At 36.1% G+C, this 23,868-nt stretch overlaps 1 protein-coding gene and 1 pseudogene across 2 annotated transcripts in view; one reads left to right on the top strand and one right to left on the bottom strand.

Moving 5' to 3' along the window:
• The window catches only part of DIAPH2 (diaphanous related formin 2), a 920,156-nt gene that overhangs the window by 627,836 nt on the left and 268,452 nt on the right, over positions 1–23,868 (bottom strand). For both annotated transcript variants that reach the window (NM_006729.5, NM_007309.4), the window contains exons 16-17: positions 19,014–19,334; positions 11,955–12,069 (exon numbers count right to left, since the gene is read on the bottom strand). In NM_006729.5, the coding sequence (NP_006720.1) occupies positions 11,955–12,069; positions 19,014–19,334 (436 nt within the window). The remainder of the gene's footprint in view (positions 1–11,954; positions 12,070–19,013; positions 19,335–23,868) is intronic.
• NDUFB5P2 (NADH:ubiquinone oxidoreductase subunit B5 pseudogene 2) lies at positions 22,967–23,523 on the top strand (annotated as a pseudogene).

Here is a 23,868-nt window from a genome sequence, read left to right as displayed (position 1 = left end):
TATGTGGAACTATATGATTAACCATATGAAAAAGGGATCAGTTAACAGTGCAACAAAATGCACAAATTACTAAGGGCATAGAAGCCATTAAAAGTCATTGTTACAGCATACAGAAGTGATTAAGATTAAGAACAAACTTGGGCTCAAATCACCATTTTGCCACTTACTAGATATGTAAACAAAATATTGCTTAATCTCCCAGAGTCTCAGTTTCTTAACCGACAAAACAACAATACAAGTACCTAGGGTTGGTATGAGGTTGGTATGATATGAATTTAAAATAATTATAATCGCTCTTGGGATATAATGTTTAATAAATTTATTATTGTTTTAATTATAATTATTACTATTATTGCTGTTACTAGATGTTGTAGAGATGGTATTATATTAATAGAAGTAGTACACTCACCACATATTGTCAATATGTAAAGACGGAGCTATTTTGAAGTCTATTTGCTTAGAAGGCAGAAGATACTCTCTTTCTCTCTACAATTGGTGACTTATACTTAAACAACGTCATGTATCTCTGGCTGAAACATCCCTTGTTCCTTCTTTTACATAAAATAGGTGATTAATGCTAGAAAATGACAACTGGAAATTAATGTGTGTCATCATAAGTTGAAACACTTAAAATGTCCATAATGAAAAAAAAAACACTTTGGTAAAGTGATATACAAAAACAATTATTTATATTTAGAAATCCAAAAAACTTTAGATATAATTAAAATGATGAAATTATGGGCTGGACACAGTGGCTTACACCTGTATTCCTAGCACTTTGGGAGGCCGAGGCAGGTGGATTGCTTGAGCCCAGAAGTTTGAGATCACCCTGGGCAACATGGTGAAATCCTATTTCTTGTTTTTTTTTTTCTTTGAGATGGAGTCTCGCTCTGTCGCCCAGGCTGGAGTGCAGCGGCGTGATCTTGGCTCACTGCAAGCTCCGCCTCCTGGTGAAACCCTATTTCTACAAAAAATACAAAAAATTAGCCAGGTATCGTGGTGCACACTTATAGTCCCAGCTACCAGGGAGGCTGAGGTTGGAGGATCACATGACCCTGGGAGGTCGAGGCCGCAGTGAGTTGTAATCATGCCAGTGCACTCCAGCCTGGGTTACAGAGTGGAAAAGAAGGAAGGAAGGGAGGGAGGGAGGGAGGGAGAGAGGGAAGGAGGGAGGGAGGGAAAGAAAAGAAATTATGTACAGGTATTGCAATGGACTGAAGGTTTATGTCCCCCTTAAATTCATATGTTCCAACCTACACACAAGGTGATGGTATCAGGAGGTGGGGCCTATGAGAAGTGATTATGTCACGAGGGCAGAGCCTTCATGATTGTATTAGTGCCCTTAAAACAAAGACTTCAGAAAGACAGCTCACCACTTCCACCATGTGAAGTTACAGAAAGAAGCTACCCTCCATAATCCAGAAAGTAGGCCCTCAAAAGACACCAAATATACCAGTATTTTGATCTTGGATTCTTAGTCTCCAGAAGCGTGAGAAATAAATTTCTGTTGTTTATAAGCTACCCAATTTATGGTATTTTGTGATAGCAGCCCAAACACACTAAGATAGTTAAGTATGGTTTTTAGTTTGCTGCCTGAAAGAATTAAGCCTTCCTGGTTTGTTACCATATACATTAAAGCTTATACTACAGAAGGATGCATGTTGTGCCATTAAGATGACAAATTATTTGTTAGGACACGAACTCTCTCTGGACACGTTAGCACCATCTTACAAGGGCTGTGCACTCTGAGACTGACATCTCATTAATTTCAAGTCAATTGCAAGAATTTCTATATTATGAAGGCAAAGATGAATTACACTTTACCACTCTTTTGTCTTTTCATTAGTTCACTAAATATAGAAGACTGTATTGAGCAACCAAGCAAGGGTGGGTGTCTTCAGAAGCAGCCAGTTGATTCTTAGACTAAGAAACACACATTAAAATATGATCCTAAAGAAAAAGTGCTTTTACATACACACAACTTCAATCTCAGTTACACCATAAGGTTGAAGCTATGTCCAATATTTCAAGCACTGCAAAATGACATTTATATGCATTTCAAATATTTATAACACCTCAATTTTCTGTTATTATTAAAGCTAAATTTCACTATAGAAATATATTATTAAAGAAGCTAAATTTTATTAAGCTCTTATGTTTATTTCTTGTATTTCCTCCAAGCAACATTAAAAGCAAAGAAATTGCTTACAACTTCTACCCACACTATCTTTGTTCTTCCTGAAGCCTCTAGAGAACCCTAGAAATTCTAATTAGAATTAGCAGTTATAAGCTACATATTTTATTATTATTTCAAATTTAGTTAATATCAACCATCATTACTTTAAATCTTATATAATATCATTATTGTCTATAATTACTATAGTTTTTAAAGGAGAGTGACACTACCATTCTAGCCTTGATGATTCTATGCCCCCAAATATCATCAAATTGAATAATAAACAAAACTAGAACATATATACAAATTCCAACACTTACATATATGATACATATTCAAAGCTACTAACAGGATATTCTCCAGCTGTTTCTAACATATATATTTCATGAATTCAGAGAGTATTTTGAAACATATTTTGTAATATGACATTATTATGGCTTGTGAGTAGAACGTAAATGTCATAAGCATGAAGGTACAAGATTTGGGAACTAGAATAGACCTTAGAGATGCAGATTAAGAATTCATACTAGTCAGGATATCATCATATCTTACCTAGTCTACTGATATTTACTCACAATCAATGATCTATCACCTATCCATATATTCCCATCACCTATCCATATATTCCCATCACCTATCTGTCCACAAAAAGCCTATTCAAGGGCTAATCACCAAATTACTAAATCACTAATGCTTAAAGAATAAAACCCTAATTCTTCAGCGTGAAGTTTCCTTGCCACCTACGCCACAAAGTCTCTTCATTCCAGAGTCCTGACCCAAGGCTGACTGCCCGTGCCTTCAAGGCAGTATGCATTTCACCCCTCCTTATTAATAAATTAAATGAACAGCAGATCATTGGCCCAAGACTGTCTCCAAACTTTACATTCCAACTTAACAAATGGAAACCTAAAGAAAGAGTATAGTCATCCCTTAGTATCAACTGAGGATTGGTTCCAGGAGCCCTTGCAGATACCAAAATATACAAATATTTGGCTGGGTGCGGTGGCACACGCCTGTAATCCCAGCACTTTGGGAGGATGAGGAGGGCGGATCACCTGAGGTCGGGAGTTCGAGACCAGCCTGACCAACATGGAGAAACCCCGTCTCTACTAAAAATACAAAATTAGTCGGGCGTGATGGCACATGCCTGTAATCCCAGCTACTCAGGAGGCTGAGGCAGGAGAATCACTTGAACCCGTGAGGTGGAGGTTGAGGTGAGCTGAGATCACGCCATTGCACTCCAGCCTGGGCAACAAGAGCGAAACTCTATCTCAAAAAAAAAAAAAAAAAAAAAAAAGCAAATATTCAAATGCCTGCTATAAAATGGCATAGTATTCATATAGAAGCTATGCACATCCCCCTATATACTTTAAATCATCTCTAGATTAGTTATAATACCTAAATATTATGTTGATGCAAAAGGAATTGCAGTTTCTGCTATTAATGTAAATACTATGTAAATAGTTGTTATACTGTATTTTTTACATTTCTTTCTTTTGAGACTCTGCCATCCTGGCTGGAGTGCAGGAGCACGATCACGGCTCACTGCAGCCTCAACTTCCCAGGTTCACGTGACCCTCCCACTTCAGTCTCTCAAGTAACTGGGACTCCAGGTGCATATCACCACACCCAGTTAATTTTTGTACTTTTTGCAGAGATGGGGTCTCACTATGTTGCCCAGGCTGGTCTCAAAGTCCTGAGTCCAAATGATCCTCCCACCTTGGCCTCCCAAAGTGCTGAGATTATAGGCATGAGTCACGACGCTCAGCGTATTATATTTTTAATTTTTTTCAAATATTTTCTGTCCATGGCTGGTTGAATCCATGGGTGCAGAGGCCTACACAGAGATGAGACGCCAACTGTATATTTTAAACAGCTGAGCTTCAGCCAATCACAAATAGCGAAACTTCAGCCAACTGTAGGCAGCCAATGGATGAGCCTATTCCCAGACAAGGCAAATGTCTCATCACACCACGCCCAAATGAGATAAATGACTATCCGTAGACAATTAGATGACTTTTCTACTTTGTTCCCATGTTCATACTATGAAAGGTTGATGCTCACACTGAAATCCTGCTGGTTCTGAATGCTGACCAATTAATGAATGATTCCTTGCTCAAATGAATTCTGTAAAATTTGATTTGTCTCAAGTTTTTCTTTTAACATTTTACTGATGGTATTCTCTAGCTAGAATGCCGTCTTTCCTTCCTTCTTTCCCTATAGAAATTCTATTAAAATTTCAAGTCCCAACTCTAATTATACTACCTCTAGGATCTCCATTGACCCTACTCAAAATTAATTATTTGTTTTTGTACCCCAGTAGCTTTTTAAAAAGTATCTACTCTAACATTTACTACAACTTGACTAAGTATACTGGGCATCCTCCTACCTCTCTCAGTAGATTGTGAGTTCCCTGGTGCCTGGACAAGATCTTATTCATTTCTTTCCCTCCCATTTAGTATAGAACCTCACACATAATAGATACTCTACAAACTTAACCTAAATGAAACAAGACATCCATTCTTTCCTACAACAGAAATAATCTGTTTTTAAATAAAACATTAAAAATAATTTTCTCTAAAACTAATTTAAATAGGAAGTATAATTTTATGCTACTTTCACATATTAAATATTTAAACATTTAAATATTATAGATATGAGAACTAGTGTGTTTTAAAGCTCCTATTTAGCTCTTAAACAAGTTCCTGAAAAATAGACTTGTAGTGCTTTACAGTACACGTAGTGAGGACAGAGGCATGAGCTCTCCTATGTTCTTGCAGTAGTGAAAAATAATCAGAGGTTTTAGAACACTGGTCTAAGAGGTTTTGAAACAGCTATTAGCAAAAACAGGAATGATGCTCCTTCCAGAATGCAGCTGAGTGAGCTGCAACGAACAGCAAACCGGGGGAAAAAGGTGCCCTAGAGAAAAGAAAACCCAGGCGGTGAAGTTTAAGTTTCATGAAAGCAGACCCTCCTGCTGATTTCTTACTAAACCTGCCACCTATTGACCACAGTATGAATCAAGGCACTGCGAATGACAAGGAACTTCAGCAGTTACAGTAACATCAATCAATAGTTACTGTGTGTTACAAAAGAATGGCAGTTTAGTATCATTAAAATTTGTTTTAGCTATGGTGTGCATGTCTGAAATAGGCTATGATGCATAATTGATCCTGTATATGTCCTTTCAGAAGTAAATTTTAGTAAAAGTAATGGTTCTGAAAGGTGATACTGTCCAGATTTCTACTTAAATATCCACAATTAGGGAAGTCATAGTAGCGTGAAAGAGAAAATTCAAAGAATCAACGTTAAGAGGAATGAAAATAAAGCATTCTCAGCAATACATACATGAGAGGTTTTGTATGAATTTTGTTTGGTTTTGATTTGGTTTGATTAGGTTTTGGCAGCTGCAGTAAGAATTGCTTCAATTCTGACTGATTAGCTCTACCAAGTGCTGAAAAGAAGAGCAGTAAATTTTGCTGAATTAACAGTTGTACTGAAGCATCAATAACTAAGACACACACACACATACACCCACACCCACACACACACACATACACACACACACAGAGCATCAAGTTAAATGAAAGGGATACCAATGTGCTGAGTGCTTTAAATATATAACCTTGTTTAATTCTCACAATACTACCAGGTAAACATTAGCCTATTCATTTTATGTATGAGAAAATTCAGTCTCCGAGGTTACAAGTATCACAGCTGGAATGCAAGTATGTGTGAATTTATTTCCTCTGGCTTTTCCTACTATACCACGCTATCTTTAATGGGTTTTACACTTACCTCATTGTCTCTTACTTCAGTTTCTTCATTGGTAAAACAAAGAGTCTGTGTTTAATAACTTCTAAGATCCAGACTAACTCTAAAATTTTATAAAATCTATGATTCTTGTAGCATTCAATTCAAATAAGTCCATAATCAAAAGCGTAAATGCTCAATAGAAAATATGCAAAGAAATGGAGGGGGAAGTTTACAGAAAAAGAAATTTTATGCCTTTACAGAAAATAAAAATTTTTTTGGAATAAATGAAAAGAGACACAACATACCAAAATCTTGAGGATGCAGCAAAAGCAGTATTAAAAGGGAAGTTAATAGCACTATAGGCCTACCTGAAAAAGTTAGAAAAATCTCAAATTAAAGATCTAGCTTCACACCTAGAGGAAGCAGAAAAACAAGAGCAAATCAATGCAAAAGCTAGCATAGGAAATGAATAAAACCAGAGAAGAACGGAATGACATTGATACCCAAAAATCCACACAAAGAATTAACTAAACCAAAAGTTGATTCTTTGAATGCATAAACAAGATAAATGGACCGCTACCTAGATTAAAAAAGAAAAAAAGAGGCCATCCAAATAAGCACAATAAGAAACAACAAAGGTGACATTACAAATGATCCTGCAGAAAAACAAAAGATCCTCAGAGACTGTTATGTATACTTCTGTGCAAACCAACTACAAAATATAGAGGAGATAGATAAATTCCTGGAAACACACAACCTCCCAAGATTGAATCGGGAAGAAGCTGAAACCCGGAACAGACAAATATTGAGTTCCACAATTAAATCAGTAATTTAAATTAAAAAAAAATGACAAAAACAAACAAACAAACAAACAAACAACAACACCCAGAACAGACAGTTTCACAGCTGAAGTCTACCAGACATAGAAAGAAGAGCTGGTACCAATTCTACTGAAACTGTTTCAAAACATTGAAGAGTAGGGACTCCTCCATAAGTCTATGAAGCCAGCATCACCCTGATAGCAAAACCTGGCAAAGAAACAACAGAACATGAAAACTGCAGGCCACTATCTCTAATGAACATAGACACAAAAATTCTCAACAAAATACCAGCAAACCAAATCAAGCACAACATCAGAAAGTTACTCTGGCAAGATCAAGTAGGCTTTATTTCTGGGATTCAATGTTTATCAACATCTATAAATAAGTGTGATTCATCACATAAACAGAATTAAAAACAAAAACCATATGATCATCTCCATAGACATGGAAAAAGCCATCAATAAGATCCAGCATCCCTTCACGATAAAAATCCACAAGAAACTAGGTACACCTCAAAATAATAAGAGCTATCTATGACAAGCCCACAGCCAACATCATACTGAATGGAGGAAAGCTGGAAGCACTCCCCTTGAGAACTGGAATAAGACAAGGATGCCCTCTCTCATCGTTCCTATTAAACATAGTACTGGAAGCCCTTGGATGAGTAATCAGGCAAGAGAAAGAAATAAAAGATATCCAAATAGGAAAAGATGTCAAACTATTTCTCCTCACAGACGATATGATCCTATACCTAGAAAGCACTAAAGACTCTGCCAAAAGGTTCCTGGAACACATAAAAAATTTCAGTAAAGTTTCAAAATACAAACTCAACTTACAAAAGCTAGTGTCATTTCTACATACTAATAACTCTCAAGCTGAGAGCCAAAACAAGAACACAATATCATTTACAATAGGCCAAAAAAAAAAAAATGAAATACCTAGGCATACACATCTAATCAAGAAGGTGAAAGATCTCTACAAGGAGAGCCACAAAAAACTACTAAAAGAAATAATGAATGACACAAACAAATGGAAGAACATCTCATGCTCATAAATTGGATGAGTCAATATCATTAAAAAGGTCATACTGCCCAAAGCAATTTACAGATTCAATACTATTCCTACCAAACTACCAATGTCATTTTTCACAGGCTTAGAAAAAAAAAACTATTCTAAAATTCACATGGAATCAGAAAAGAGCCCAAATAGCCAAAGCAATCCTAAGCGAAAAGCAGAAAGCCAGAGGCATCACATTACCTGCCTTCAAACTATATTACAAGGCTACCGTAACCAAAACAGCATGGTACTGGTACAAAAATAGACACATAGACCAATGGAACAGACTAAGAGAACCAAGAAATAAAGCTGCACACCTACAGCCATCTGAATTTTGACAAAGTCAAACAAAAATAAACAATGGAGAAAGGACTACCTATTCAATAAATGGCACTGTGATAGCTGGCTAGCCATATGCAGAAGAACAAAACCGAAAGCCTCTCTTTTACCATACACAAAAAGTCAAAATGGATTAAAGAATTAAATGTAAGACCTCAAACTATGAAAATCCTATAAGAAAACCTAGGAAACACCATTCTGGACATCTGCCTTGGGAAATAACTCATGACTAAGTTCTCAAAAGCAACTGTAACAAAAATTGATGAATCGAACTTAATTAAACTAAAGAGCTTCTGCACAACAAAATAAACTATTAACAGGATAAACAGACAACCTGCACAATGGAAGAAAATATTCACAAACTATGCATCTGACAAAGGTCTAATACCCAGAATCTATAAGGAACTTAAAGAAATCAACAACCAAAAAAACAAATAACCCCATTAAAAAGTGGGCAAAGAACATGAACAGACACTTCTCAAAAGAAGACATATGGGCCAGGCATGGTGGCTCATGCCTGTAATCCCAGCACTTTGGAAGGCTGAGGCAGGTGGATCACCTGAGGTCGGGAGTTCGAGACCAGCCTGGCCAACATGGTGAAAACTCGTCTCTACTAAAAATACAAAAATTAGCTGGGCATGGTGGCGGGCACCTGTAATCCCAGCTACTGGGGAGTCTGAGGCAGGAGAATCACTTGAACCCAGGAGGCGGAGATTGCAGTGAGCTGAGATTGCACCATCGCATTCCAGCCTGGGCAGCAAGAGCGAAACTCTGTCACAAAATAAATAAATAAATAAATAAAATAAAAATAAAAAGACATACAAGAGGCTGACAAACATGAAAAAATGCTCATAACACTAATCATCAGGGAAATGAAAAATTGAAACCACAACAAGATACCATCTCACACGAATCAGCATGGCTATTACTAAAAAGCCAAAAAAAAAACCCAAACAGATGCTGGCAAGGCTGTGGAGAAAACAGAACACTTATATACTGTTGGTAAGAATGTAAATTAGTTCAGCCACTATAGAAAGCAGTTCGGAGACTTCTCAAATAACTTAAAACAGAACTACCATTCTACTCAGCAATCACATTACTAGGTTCAAATCCAAAAGAAAAGAAATCATTTCCCCCAAAAGACACATGCACTTTTATGTGCATCACAGCACTGTTTACAATAGCGAAGACAAGGAATCAACCTAGGTGCCCATCAACAATGGACTGGATAAAGAAAATGTGGTACATATACACCATGGAATACTATGCAGCCGTAATTAAAAAAAAATCATATCCTGGCCAGGCATGGTGGGTCACGCCTGTAATCCTAGCACTTTGGGAGGTCGAGGCGGGTGGATTACCTGAGGCCAGGAGTTTGAGACTAGCCTGGCCAACAAGGTGAAACCCAGTCTCTACTAAAAATACAAAAATTAGCTAAGGGTGGTGGGCGCCTGTAATCCCAGATACTCGGGAAGCTGAGGTAGGAGAATTGCTTGAACTCGGGAGGCGGAGGTTGCAGTGAGCCAAGATCGCGCCATTGCACTCCAGCCTGGGCAACAAGACCGAAACTCTGTCTCAAAATGAATAAATGAATGAATGAATGAATGAATGAATGAATAAATAAATAAATATAAAAATAAAAAATGATATCCTTTGCAGTAACATGGATGCAGCTGGAGGCCATTATCCTAAGCAAATTAATGCAGGAACAGAAAATTAAATACTGCATGTTCTCACTTATAAGTGGGAGCTAAATACTGGGTATTCTTGGACACAAAGATGGGAATAGACACTGGGGGCTAATAGAGAACAGAGGGAGGGAAGAGGGCAAGGATTAAAAAACTAATGGTCAAGTACTATGCTCATTGCTACCTGGATGATGGGATCATTTGCGTCCCAAACCTCAGAATCATGCAACATACCCATGTAACAATCCTGCACATGTACCCCCTGAATACAGAATAAGAGTTAAAATTATTTTTTAAAATGAAAGTAAAATAAAATTGCCTGTGAATATAAGAAAATGTGCTCAATCTCACTCCATATTCAAAAAGCAAAAATTATAACAACAATGATTTACCATTTTCACCTCTGAGGTGGGCAAAGATTTTGGGAAAACAGATATTCATATATATTCTTTGTGACATTATAAACTGATACAAACTCATCAGAATGTAATTTCATACTATCTTTAAAATTTGTAAATGTACACAGCATTTTATCCAGGAATTTTACTTGTAGAATTTGTGAAAAACAGCATATATGGAGTCATGTTCACCACAGCATTTCTTAAACAAGCAAAAGACTAGAACTAATCTAAATAGCCATTGATATGGGATTAATTAAATTAAGATAGGCCCATACACAAAATTCTATGCAGTATGTAAAAAGAACACAGTAGATAAACACAAGCACCTACAGAATAATCTTTAGGCACAGTTGGTGAAAACAGCAAGGAATAAAAAACAAAAAATGATAAATGCACATATGTGTTGAGAGGCATAGACTATTTCTAGGAGAAAATGTGAAAAATTAGAATTAATGATTTTATCTGGGCAAAATGCTGTAAGTCTGAGATTGAAGGGAGATTTACATTTGTTAAACTACCTTATTTTACTATATGAATAATTTGCTATAAGCATGAACACTTTGCTACAAGCAATTTTTTAACGTTAAACAGTGATTATAATAAATGGCAATCACTTGAATCATTGAAAAATTCTTTAAATGTGAGGTCTGCGATATCAAATGAGAAAAAAGAAAGGTAGGCCTAATAGTAGTAACTTTTTTTAAATGTCAAAATTCTTCAGAATAGTCTAATCACCCCAGATTTGTGTGTGCATATGAACTTCAATTTACAAAGAACAACAAATACAGCACAACAATCTCCAGTGTACATAATCTAAAAAAAAGAAACTAATTTTCACACCTCTCTATCTTCCAAAATTTATATTCTCATATTCTAAGGCATAATGTGACAAATCAGACAAATGAATGATAAAGGTGCTAATTCCAAGGGCATGAGAGTATGGATTATTTCCATTTTTCAACTGCAAGGACTCATTCAGACAAAAAGTAATATCCTCAACTAAACTATCACTTCTACAATAATTAGTGAAATAATCATGTTGAAATAAAATACCAAAAATTAATGAACCATAACGATCTATTATGAGATTGAGAAGCTACCTGTATAGTAACAAAATCATCTGTGAAATTCACAAGCAAATAAATAAAGGATCTAATCATAAACAAAGCACTCTATTATCAAATCAGTAAACAATACTTATAAGGTACTGGATTTTGATATTAATAGAAAATATCTAATTATAGCAAAAACTATAACATTTCCTAGGAATCCAAATTGATAAGTAATACAAGCATGACAGGAAAGACTATTTAAGACTATGGGACCAATCTTATTTCAATTTCATGAAAAATTCTGAGACTTTAGTGTTCTCTTACATTATTTTCTCTTACATGATGAATCAACGGATTCATCTTCCCTGCTTCTCAGTAAAAACGACTATTTTATAATGGAGCAGTGCAACACACATATTTAACAATAAAAATAAAACCTGTATTTTCAGAAGAATAATAACATTTATGTATAATAAAATTCAAAGGTAAAATAAATTTCCTTCTTTATTTACTAGGTAAAATATAGTTAAATGTCAATCTATTTATGTTTCACCCTGTCCAGTGTGGGAAAAGTATACATATACCCATTACTAGAAATTTTTAGCAAAGCACTAAATTAAATTGTACCTGAATCGGGAACTTATATTTTATTTTTAAAAATGTACCTTTTATCTGAGTAGCAAAATTCAATGCCAATTTGGCAAAGAGATCTGGATTCTCAAACTTGTCTTCTTTGACTCTTAACCAGAAACAGTTCTCAGATAATTCTGTGGGTTCAATCTGAAACAAAAATAACAAAGAATAGATTCTAAATTATAACCTCATATTTAAATTTTCAAGGAACTAACTTTCAGCAAGGTTGAATGACAGTTCCTTTATTCCTCTATCCTCTAAGTCAATTTCAGGATGTATCTAAATAATACTTATAAAGTAAATATTCATTGGGAAATTCAGAATTATGTGACGAAATGGTGAACAATAGAAATAGACCACAAAGCAAATTGCACCTTAAAAACTATTCTACTGGAAGGAGTCTTAAAAATAACTTAGGAAATCCTAACCCCAACTCACATAAAATCTTCTTGTTCCTGGGTTTTTTAAAACAGGGAAACTCAGACTTAGAAAAGTGAATTCCCCTTGTTCACTCATTAGGTTTAAGGTAGCAACCATAATGATAGCTGACACACGCCTCCTACGTTGTGTCAGGTACTGTCTTAAGTTATTTGCATATATTAACTAATTTAATCCTCGTAATAATTTTTTCACCTGTTATTATCTCTACATTAAAAGATGAGGAAACACAGCCCAAGAAAGTTTAAGTGGCTGCCCAAATTAGTAAATGGCAGAGCTGGGATTTTAAACCTAGATAAGTGCTCCAGAGGACTGTGGTCTTAACTACTACCCAAGATTAGAACTTTATCTTCCAATACACCATGAAGTTTTGTGATGTATAACTACCATTACACCGTATACTAAATTGTAAAATTAGGAAGCATACGACTACATTAACACAGGAAGATAACTAGGCAACAGCTTTGTAATCTTGAATTTTGATGAATTGTACTTAATTTTTTAAAAAGAAAACTACATTCTAAAACCATTTACTCCAAGTTTACTCTTATGAGCAAAGCATAAATATATGCATAAGATTGAAAAATGATTTAACCATCATTCTGTTTAAACCAACTTACTACATAGATGCTGTCTAATACTGTAAATATGTTATTGGATGACACATTTCCCCAGATGGTTGTCTGGGTAAATGGATTTTCATTAGAAAATTAGTTCCCAGTGAATGAGGACTGTGTCAATCTACATAATAACCTTTTAAAACAGACATATTATTTTCTAATAATAATAAAGCCAAACAACATTCAGAAGAAAGTATTTTCATACATCAAAAAAAATTAAGGTATATCAATATTGAATATTGTCACTTATTCCACACTATTTGAAAGTGTAAAATTAAAAAAAAAGTCATTCACTAAGAAAAACAAGTAAGATAAAAAGGCTCAATAATAAAAAGGATTTTATTCAAGAAAAATGGGGAATAGGCTTCAGCTGACTGGAGGCAGGTGGCACTCATATCCTCCATAAAAGGCCAAAAAAGAGAGTAGATAATCACAACATGTAAAAACACTGGAATTTGGCAGGGAAGTTACAGAAAACACCTGAGGCACGGAAGGAGCGGGAATCCAGGCAGCAAGCCTGGCTGTGATTAGCTGGGAGCCCAGAGACGCTCCCCCAATGTGGGAAAAGGGTAAATAACATATCCCCAGTGGTCCAGATTCCCACTGTGAACTCTGAAGATTCTAGCCATAGGAGAGCCACTCAGCCTCCACAGGCCCTGAAACTAGTCTTTAGTATACAAAGCGAGCTGCAGTGTGTGCAATGGCATTGCTCTAGAATGAGCATTCACACTGGATCCCACACATGCCACCAAGACCAAAGCAGGTGCAGTATGGTAACAGATTGAGAGCCCAAACCCAACCAGACTACATCCTGCCCTGGGGATGAATGATACTCTATCTCCACATCCTTGGAGCCCACTGAAATCTCCCCACATCCACCCAGATGACTGCAGTGGTGTGATACTGGCTAGATCCAGCAATGAGACCAGGTCCCAGCACTCTAGCCCACAAGGTGTCCTACATCCCAGGAACACGTGGTGCAGCATATTGGAGAGGCTACAGGCCAAGAGAGAATGGGACACTATATTTAAAGTGCCAAAAGAAAAAAAGAAAAAAAGAAGCCAGTTGTATATACCCAACAAATCTATCCCTCAAAAATGAAGGAGAAATACATAATGTCTTTCCCAAACACGCAAAAACTGAGGGAATTCATCACCACTAGACAAGCCCTACAAGAAATGCTTAAGGAAGTCCTACGTGTCTGAAAGAGAATATATCATGAAAGCACATGAAAGTATAAAACTCACATGTAGAGCAGATACACAAATGAGAAAGAGAAAGGACTCAAATGTTAACACTACAGAAAACTACTAAACCACATGGATAAACAATAACAAAGAAAGAAAAAAACAACGGATACACAAAATGAACAGAAAACAATTAACAAAATGACAGGAATAACTCCTCACCTATCAATAATAAACTTGAATGTAAACCAATTAAATTGCCCACTTAGAAGATATAGACTGGCTGAATGTACTAAAAAACATGACCCAACTATATGCTTCCAACAAGAAACATATTTCACCTGCAAGACACACATAGGCTGAAAATAGAAGATATTAAATTGCAAATGGTAACCAAAAGTGAGGAGTAAATATACGTATATCAGATCAAACAGATGTTAAGTCAAAAATAGTAAAAAGAGACAAAGTAGGTATATATATATATATATATATATATATGTGTGTGTGTGTGTGTGTATATATATATGTATATATATATGTGTGTGTATATATGTATATATATATGTATATATATGTGTATATATATATGTGTATATATATGTGTATATATATGTGTATATATATATGTGTATATATATATGTGTATATATATATATGTATATATATATGTGTATATATATATGTATATATATATGTATATATATATATGTATATATATATGTATATATATATAGAAAGGCATCACTTTAGCAAGAGGATGTAACATGTCAAAATATATATGTACCCAACACTGGAGCACCCAGATATACAAAGAAAATATTATTAGATCTAAAGGGAAAGGTACACTCTAACATAGTAATAGTTGGGGACTTCAACACCCTACTCCCAGCATTAGACAGATCATCTAGGCAGAAAATCAACAAATAAACATTGGATTTAAACTGCACTTTAGAACAAACAGGCCTAAAAGACATTTACAGAACATTTTATCCAACAGCTGCAGAATAAACACTCTTCCCATCAGCATAAGAAACATTCTCAAGGATAGATCATATGCTACTATAAAAACCAAGTCTCAACAAATTTTTAAAAATCAAAATCATATCGAGTATCTTCTCAGACCACAATGGGATAAAATTAGACATCAATAATAAGAGAGATTTCAGAAACTATGCAAGTACATAGACTTAAAGAACATGCTCCTGAATGACCACTGGGTCAATTAAAAAATTAAGAAAAAAATTAAAAAATGTATTAATGTAAGTGAAAATTAAAAAAACAATATATCAAAACCTGTGGAAAGCAATGCTAAGAGGGATGTTCATAGCAATAAACAACTACTTCGAAAAAATGGAAAGATGTCAAATAAACAGTTTAATTTTGCACCTGAAGGAACTAAAAAAGCAAGAACAAACCAAACCCCAAATCAGTAGAAGGAAAAAAATAATAAAGATCAGAGCAGAACTGAGCCAGACAGAGATTAAAAATATAATACAAAAGAGCAACAAAACAAAAAGTTAGGTTTTTTTTTTTTGAAAAGATAAAACTGATAAACCACTAGCTGGATTATCCAAGAAAAGAAAAAAAAAAAAAGAAAGACCTAAATAAACAGAATCAGAAATGGAAGAGGAGACCTTACAACTGATAGCACAGAAATACAAAAGATATCAGAGACTACTATGGACAACTATACATTAACAAGCTGAAAAGCCAGAGGAAATGGATAAATTACTGGACACATACAATCTACCAAGAAAGTCCCCCCAGTAAAGAAAAGCCCCAGGACTAATGACTTTACTAATGAATTCTTCCAAACTTGTAAAAAAGAACTAACACCAATTCTTGTCAAACTATTCCAAAAAACTAAAGAGCAGGAAATTCTTCCTAACTCATCCTACGAGGCCAGCATTACCCCAATACGAAAACCAAACAAGGACACAACAATTAAAGAATATCCCAGATGAACACAGGCATAAACATCCTCAACAAAATACTAGGGAACTGAATCCAACAGCACATCCAAAAGATAATACATCATAATCAATGGGATATACCCCATGAATGCCAGGATTGTTTAACATATGCCATTCAATAAACGTGATACATCACAGCAAAAGAATGAAAAATGAAAACTATATAATTATCTCAACAGATGTAGAAAAAGCATTTGATAAAATGTAACATCCCTTCACAATAAAAACTCTCAACAATTAGGCAGAGAGGGAACATACTTCCATATAATAAATGCCATATATGACAAAGCCATTGCTAACATCATACTGAATGGACAAAACATGAAAGCCTTTCCTCTAAGAATTGGAACAAGACTAGGATGCTCACTTTCACCATTCCTATTCAACATAGTACTGGAAGTCCTAGCCAGAGCCATCAGTCAAGCAAAGAAATAAAGGACATCCAAATTGGAAAAGACAACATCAAATTGTCCCTCTTTGCAGACAACATGATCTGACATTTGGAGATACCTAAACACCCCACAAAAAACTCATATAATTAATAAATTCAGTAAGTTGGAGGATACAAAATCAACACACAAAATTTATTAATGTTTCTATAGCTGAACAATAAACTTGCTGGAAAAAAAAATAAAAAGGCAATCTCATTTACAATAGCTACAAAAAAATAAAAAACCTAGGAATAAATTTAACCAAAGAAGTAAAAGACCTTTATAAGAAAAACTACAAAACACTGATGAAAGAAATTAAAGAGGACACAAACAAATGGAAAGAGACAATGCTCATAGAATAAAGGAATTTACACTGTTAAAACGACCATACAACTCAAAGCAATCTACAGATTCAATGCAATCCCTATCAAAATACCATTAACATTTTTTCACAAAAAATAGGAAAAATAATCCTAAAATTCATATGGAACCACACAAGAGCCTGAATAGCCAAAGCAATCCTGAGCAAAAAGATCAAAGCAGGACATTGACTTCAAAATATACTACAAGGCTATAGTAGTCAAAACAGCATGGTACTAATGTAAAAAGAGATATATACACCAATGGAATAGAATAGAGAACCCAGAAGTAAATCCATATATTTACAGCTAACAGATTTGGCACAAATGTACCAAGAACATGCAATGGGGAAAGGACACCCTCTTCAATAAATGATGATAGGAAAACTGGACATCCATTTGCAAAAGAATTAAACCTGACCTATATCTCCCACAATATATAAAAATGGACTCAACATTGATTAAAGACTTAAGCATAAGACCTGAGACTATAAAACTACTAGAAGAAAACAAGACAAATGCTCCAGGACACTAATATAGGCAAAGATTTTGTGGCTAAGACCTGAAAAGCACAGGAAACAAAAACAAAAATGGGTAAGTGAGATTATATTAAACTAAAACGCTTCCGCATAGAAAAGGGAACAATTAACAGAGTAAAGAGACAATCTGTTGAATGGGAAAAAATATCTGCAAACTATCCAACAATGGACTAATATCCAAAAAATACAAGAAACCCAAACAATAGCAACAAAACAAATAATCACATTAAAGAGTAGACAAATAATTTAAGTAGACATTTCTCAAAAGAAGACAAACAAATGGCCAAGATATATGAAAATGTGCTCAACATCATTAATCACCAGGGAAATACAAATCAAGACCACAGTGAGGTATCTTACTGGCATCTTATGCCAGTTAGAATAGCTATTATCAAAAAGACAAAATGCTGGCAAAGATGTGGAGAAAAGGGAACTTTCATATACTGTTATTAGGAATGTAAATAGTACAGCCATTATGGAAAACACTATAAAGATTTCTCAAAAATATAAATAATAGGATTACCATACAATAATGCTCCTAAATAACAGGATTACCATACAATAATGCTGTAATCTGACCACTGAGTATTTATACAAAGGAAAGGAAATCAGTATATCAAAGAGATACCTGCACCCTCATGTTTATTGCAGCACTAGGCACAATGGCAAAGATATGAAATCAAGATATGAAATCAAGCTAAGTGTCCATCAACGGATGAATGGATAAAGAAAATATAGTATTGAGACATAATGGAATACCATTCAACTATAAAAAAGACTGAAATCCTGTCATTTGCAGCAATATGTATGGAATTGGAGATCACTATGTTAAGTGAAAAAAGCTGGACACAGAAAAACAAATATCATATATTCTCACTCATATATAGGAGCTTAAAAAGTGAGTATCATGAAGGTAGAGAATAGAATGATAGTTACCAGAGACTGGGAAGGGTGTGTGTGGGAGGTGGGAGGGTGAAGAGAGATAGGTTAATGGGTATGAACATATAGTTAGATAAAAGGAATAAGTTCTACCATTTGATAGCACAGTAAAGTGACCATAGTTAACAATATGTTGTATATTTCAAAATAACTAGAAGAGAAGATCTGAATGTTCTCAACACAAACAAATGACAAATGTTAAAGGTGATGGGTATCCTAAATACCCTGACTTGATCATTACACATTCTATGCATGTAGCAAAAATCATATGTACCCCATAAATACGTACAAATATTACATATCAATAAAAAATTTTTAAAGAAAAGCTATGTTAAAAGAATCAAAATTGCTTGTCATTTGTTGGTATATTTCAAATATTATTCTCTACATCACTTCGATTTTCCTTTTGCCTGCTTCACAATGTCAAACTATCTGGAGAGTTTCCAATTATCTACAACCTAAATTGAAAGATGGACATAAAATGATGAACCCACAAAGGAACGGAAAGAGTCAGCAGTCATACTCTCAAACATTATACAATGTGTACACATAGCAATGATCAACAAAAGCTAGACAAAGTAAAAAAACTCTAGTTTTAGTATTACCTTTGACCAATTGATTCTCTTCATGGACACTTCAGGTTTATACATTTTTTTCTGCTTCATTCCATAAGGTAGATTAAGTGATATTCCTGGGGGAGGAGGAACTCCTCCAAGGGGTGGTGGTGGAGGAGGTCCCCCAAATAAAAGTGGTGGTGGGGGTGGTGGTGGTATCCCCATCATTCCAGGTAAAGGAGGTGGTGGAGGAGGAAGAGGAGCTCCTCCGGGTAGAGGTGGCGCGGGTGGTGGTGGAGGCGGCCCTACACCTGGCAATGGAGGTGCTGCAGGAGGACCTGGAATTCCTGATGAACTTGAGAGTACTTGTGCCTGAAATATAAATAATCCAAGTTTAAATGCTTATAAAATATAATTGAAAAAACTGAAGAAATATATATCAATAGATATTTGTAGTTTATTTATCTTATGTTTTAAGATCATATATACTTTTTTAGATATTACTAAAATATCTAAATATTTAGCAAGATCTAAGGGTTTAACAGTATATGAAAAAGGCCTGTGTAGATTTTTTATAAGCATTATAAATTCTGGACAGTGACTACTTCTGTTAACACACAAATGCTAGGAAAGTTGGTATCTGATAGGGTTTGGCTCTGTGTTCCCACCCAAATCGTGATCATGAGCAAGCTCTCACAAGACCTGAAGGTTTTATACGGGGATTTTCCCTTTTTGCTTGGCCCTTCTCCTTGCTACTGCGATGTGAAGAAGGATGTGTTTTGCTTCCCCTTTGGCCATGATTGGAAGTTTCCTGAGGCCTCCCCAACCCTGCAGAACTGAGTAAATTAAACCTCTTTCCTTTATAAATTACCTAGTCTCAGCCAGGTGCGGTGGCTCACGCCTGTAATCCTAACACTTTGGGAGACCGAGGCAGGTGAATTACCTGAGGTCAGGAGTTCAAGACCAGCCTGGCCAACATGGCGAAACCCTGTCTCTACTAAAAATACAAAAATTAGCTGGGGATGGTGACACGTGCCTGTAATCCCGGCTACTCGAGAGGCTGAGGCAGGAGAATCGTTTTAACCCAGGAGGCAGAGGTTGCAGTGAGCTGAGCTCACGCCACTGCACTCCAGCCTTGGTGACAGAGCGAGACTCCGTCTCAAAGAAATAATAAAATAAAAAAAAAGTTACCCAGTCTCAGGTATTTCTTCATAGTTGTGTGAGAACAACAATACAGTAAATTGGCACCGGATAGTTGGGTGCTTCTGTAAAGATATGCAAAAATGTGGAAGCAACCCAAAAATGTGGAAGCAACTTTAGAACTGGGTAACAGGCAGAGGTTGGAATAGTTTGGAGGGCTCAGAAGTAGACAGGAAAATGTGGGAAAGTTTGGAACTTCCTAGAGACTTGTTGAATGGCTTTAACCAAAATGCTGATAATGATATAAACAATAAAGTCCAGGATGAGGTGGTCTCAGATGGAGATGTGAAACTTGTTGGGAACTGGAATAAAGGTCACTCTTGCAATGCAAAGAGACTGGTGGCATTTTGTCTGCCCTAAAGATCTGTGGAACTGTGAACTTGAGAGAGATGATTTAGGGTATCTGGCAGAAAAAATTTCTAAGTGGCAAAGCGTTCAAGAGGAAGAGAGCATAAAAGTTTAAAAACATTTGCAGACTGACAATGCAGTAGTAAAGAAAAATCCGTTTTCTGGGGAGAAATTCAAGCCCTCTGCAGAAATTTGCATAGGTGATGAGGAGCCAAATGCTAATCACCAAGACAATGAGGAAAATGTCTCCAGGGCATGTCAGAGACTTTCATGGCAGCCCCTCCTATCACAGGCCTGGAGGCCTAGGAGAGAAAAATAGTTTCCTGTGCCAGGTCCAGGGCCCTCCCGCTGTGTGCAGTCTCTTTGGTGCCCTGCATCCTAGCCACTTCAGCCATGGATAAAAGGAGTCATGGTACATTTCAAGACATAGCCTTAGAGGGTGCAAGCCCCAAGCTTTGGCAACTTCCAAGCGGTGTTGAGCCTGCAGGTACACAGAAGTGAAGAACTGAGGTTTGGGAACCTCTGCCTGGATTTTAGAGGATGTATGAAAACGCCTGGATGTCCAGGCAGAAGTTTGCTGCAGGGGTGGAGCCCTTATGGAGAATCTCTGCTAGGGCAGTGCAGAAGGGAAATGTGGGGTTGGAGCCCCCACACAGAGTCCCCACTGGGGCATTGCCTAGTGGAGCTGTGAGAAGAGGGCCACCATCCTCCAGACCCCAGAATGACAGATCTACTGATGGCTTGCACCATGCACCTGGAAAAGCCACAAACACGCAACACCAACTTGTGAAAGCAATCAGCAGGGAGGCTGCACCCTGCAAAGCCACAGGGGCAAAGCTGCCCAAGGTTGTGGAAACCCACCTCTTGCATCAGCATGTCTTGGATATGAGACATGGAGTCAAAGGAGATCATTTCGGAACTCTGAGGTTTAATGACTGCCCTATTGGATTTTAGACTTGCATGGGGCCTGCAGTCCCTTTGTTTTGGCCAATTTTTCCCATTTGAAATGGGTGTATTTACCCAATGCCTGTATCCCCATTGTATCTAGGAAGTGACTAGCTTTTGATTTTACAGGCTCATAGGCAGAAGGAACATAACTTGTCTCAGATGAGACTTTGGACTTGGACTTTTGGGTTAATGCTGGAATGAGTTAAGACTTTGGGGAACTGTTGGAAGGGCATGATTGTGTTTTGAAATGTGAGGACATGAGATTTGGGAAGGGCTAAGGGTGGAATGATATGGTTTAGCTCTGCATCGCCATCTAAATCTCACCTTGAATTGTAATAATCCCCACGTGTCAAGGGCGGGACCAGGGGGAGATAATTGAATAATGAATAATGAATAATTGATAATTCTGAGTTCTCCGAAGATCTGATGGTTTTTTAAGAGGCTTTTCCCCTTTTGCTTGGCACTTCTCCTTGCTGCTGCCATGTGAAGAAGGATGTGTTTGCTTCCCCTTCCACCATGATTGTAAGTTTCCTGAGGCCTCGCCAGCTCTGCAAAACTGCAAGTCAATTAAACCTCTTCCCTTTATAAATTACCCAGTCTCAGGTATTTCTTCATAGCAGTGTGAGAACGGACTAATACAGTATCCTCAAAGATTTTGTGAAATACTCCTCTAAAATAATGAAAAATTAACTTTCTTTATAAATATATGTACAAAAGAAGTACAGTGTATGGCTTGGGCCAGTTAGATTAGTTGGTTTGAATATGGGATAATAAATACAAGGTTATGGATTAAATTCCCTTGGGGGCTAATTAGCTTCATACAAAGAGTCTGTTTCATGGCTCTAGTAACTTAGCTGGCTTCTAACACCAATAATAAATACTAAATAGCATCCATTTCCATAGTAATATATGCTTATCAACATTTTTACATTTATTATTTCTTTTGATCCTTATTATAACCCTGTAATACAGATAGGGCATTATTATCTCACCTTTATTTCACTGCTTAAAGATGAGGAAACTGTTAGCTGCAGAAAAAGTTAAATGACTAACCAAAAGTTTCAGAGTCTGAACATGATTAGAATTTCAATGTGGTTCTTCTTACATCTAATACCATCCTCATCCCAATATAAAAGACTGTCTTTTCATGAATGGGTGCCATTTACAATGAGGACAATTAATTCAAATAGATAGGATTATGAGGAGGATATAACATTTCTATCAGAAAGTAACTTCAAGCTCATTCTCTAATGACAATGGATAACAGATGAAAGGGAACACTGCAATCCATATCATGTTCTTTTTAGAGATGATTAATCTATATCCATTTCCTTAAACCAGTACTGATCACAATGGCTCACTTTGCTAGATAAATATATATGAAAAGTAGAGCTGTTCATTATAAACATTCTTATGAAACCACTACCAATGAACACACATCTGTTTTAATCAAGATACGACATTAGATTAACAGAATGAAACGTTTAAAACTAATTAAGGCAGCCAAGGCAGCCATGAGTTTTTTGCAACAGGCCTCAGTCACTGCAGTGACAGCTGTCTGGCCAGTGCCTTGACGCTCGACTGGGATTCAGGGGCTTCCTCACCCGTGGCTTTGTTAAAGCTGTCACTCCTGTTTAACACAGTGGAGATCATAGGAAAAAGACTATTTATCATGAAACCTTCTGGATTCTACAATGGGTGTTTTTTTAATTTACTGAAATTCTATATTTTGTTTATAGGGATTCCAGTGGCAATTGGAGAAACTCTAGTGAATGTATTCATTGGTGAAACTGAACTAGTAGGAATTCCAGAAGGCTATATCCCAGAACAATGGGCATATTATAAGCATCCTATATTGAGATGGATTGTCCATACTTTCTATGATGATCCTGAAAATAATTACGAAAGAACAATGGCTATCCTTCACACTGAAACTGAAAAGGCTGAACTGCAGATAAAGGAGCTGGAAGTACGAAGATTAATGTGGAAGAGAAGAGATGGACCCTGGTATCAATATGTGACCATTGATAGGGCAATTATGGATCATTCTCCAAAAGCAACTCCCAGTAAATAAACATTTATTTATCTAAATACAAAGTGTATTCTCTTTAGTGGAAAATAAATTAGTAAAAATATTCTGTATTTTTGTTCTCCGTGATGAATAAAAGAGCTTCTTACATTACTCTGTTTCTCAATGTTGGTTCATATTAAGGCTTTTGATTTGGAGGTTTTGGTTTCCTCTTTTATGAAAGTTTAAAATATACTAATGAAAAACTGCAGAAATAGGAATTTGTGAACTCCTAAAGTTGTGGTAACTTTGAGAGGTGTTTTATTTACCTGACAAATGGAAGTTATAGAAGTCTAATTATATAAGGCATCAGTAATTGTAGTAGTTTGTACAAATGTCTGT

This window comes from Homo sapiens, chromosome X, assembly GCF_000001405.40.
Source record: "Homo sapiens chromosome X, GRCh38.p14 Primary Assembly".
Taxonomy (NCBI): Eukaryota; Metazoa; Chordata; class Mammalia; order Primates; family Hominidae; genus Homo; species Homo sapiens.
Note: the sequence above shows the minus strand (reverse complement) of the source record. Positions and strands in the feature narration are given on the sequence as shown.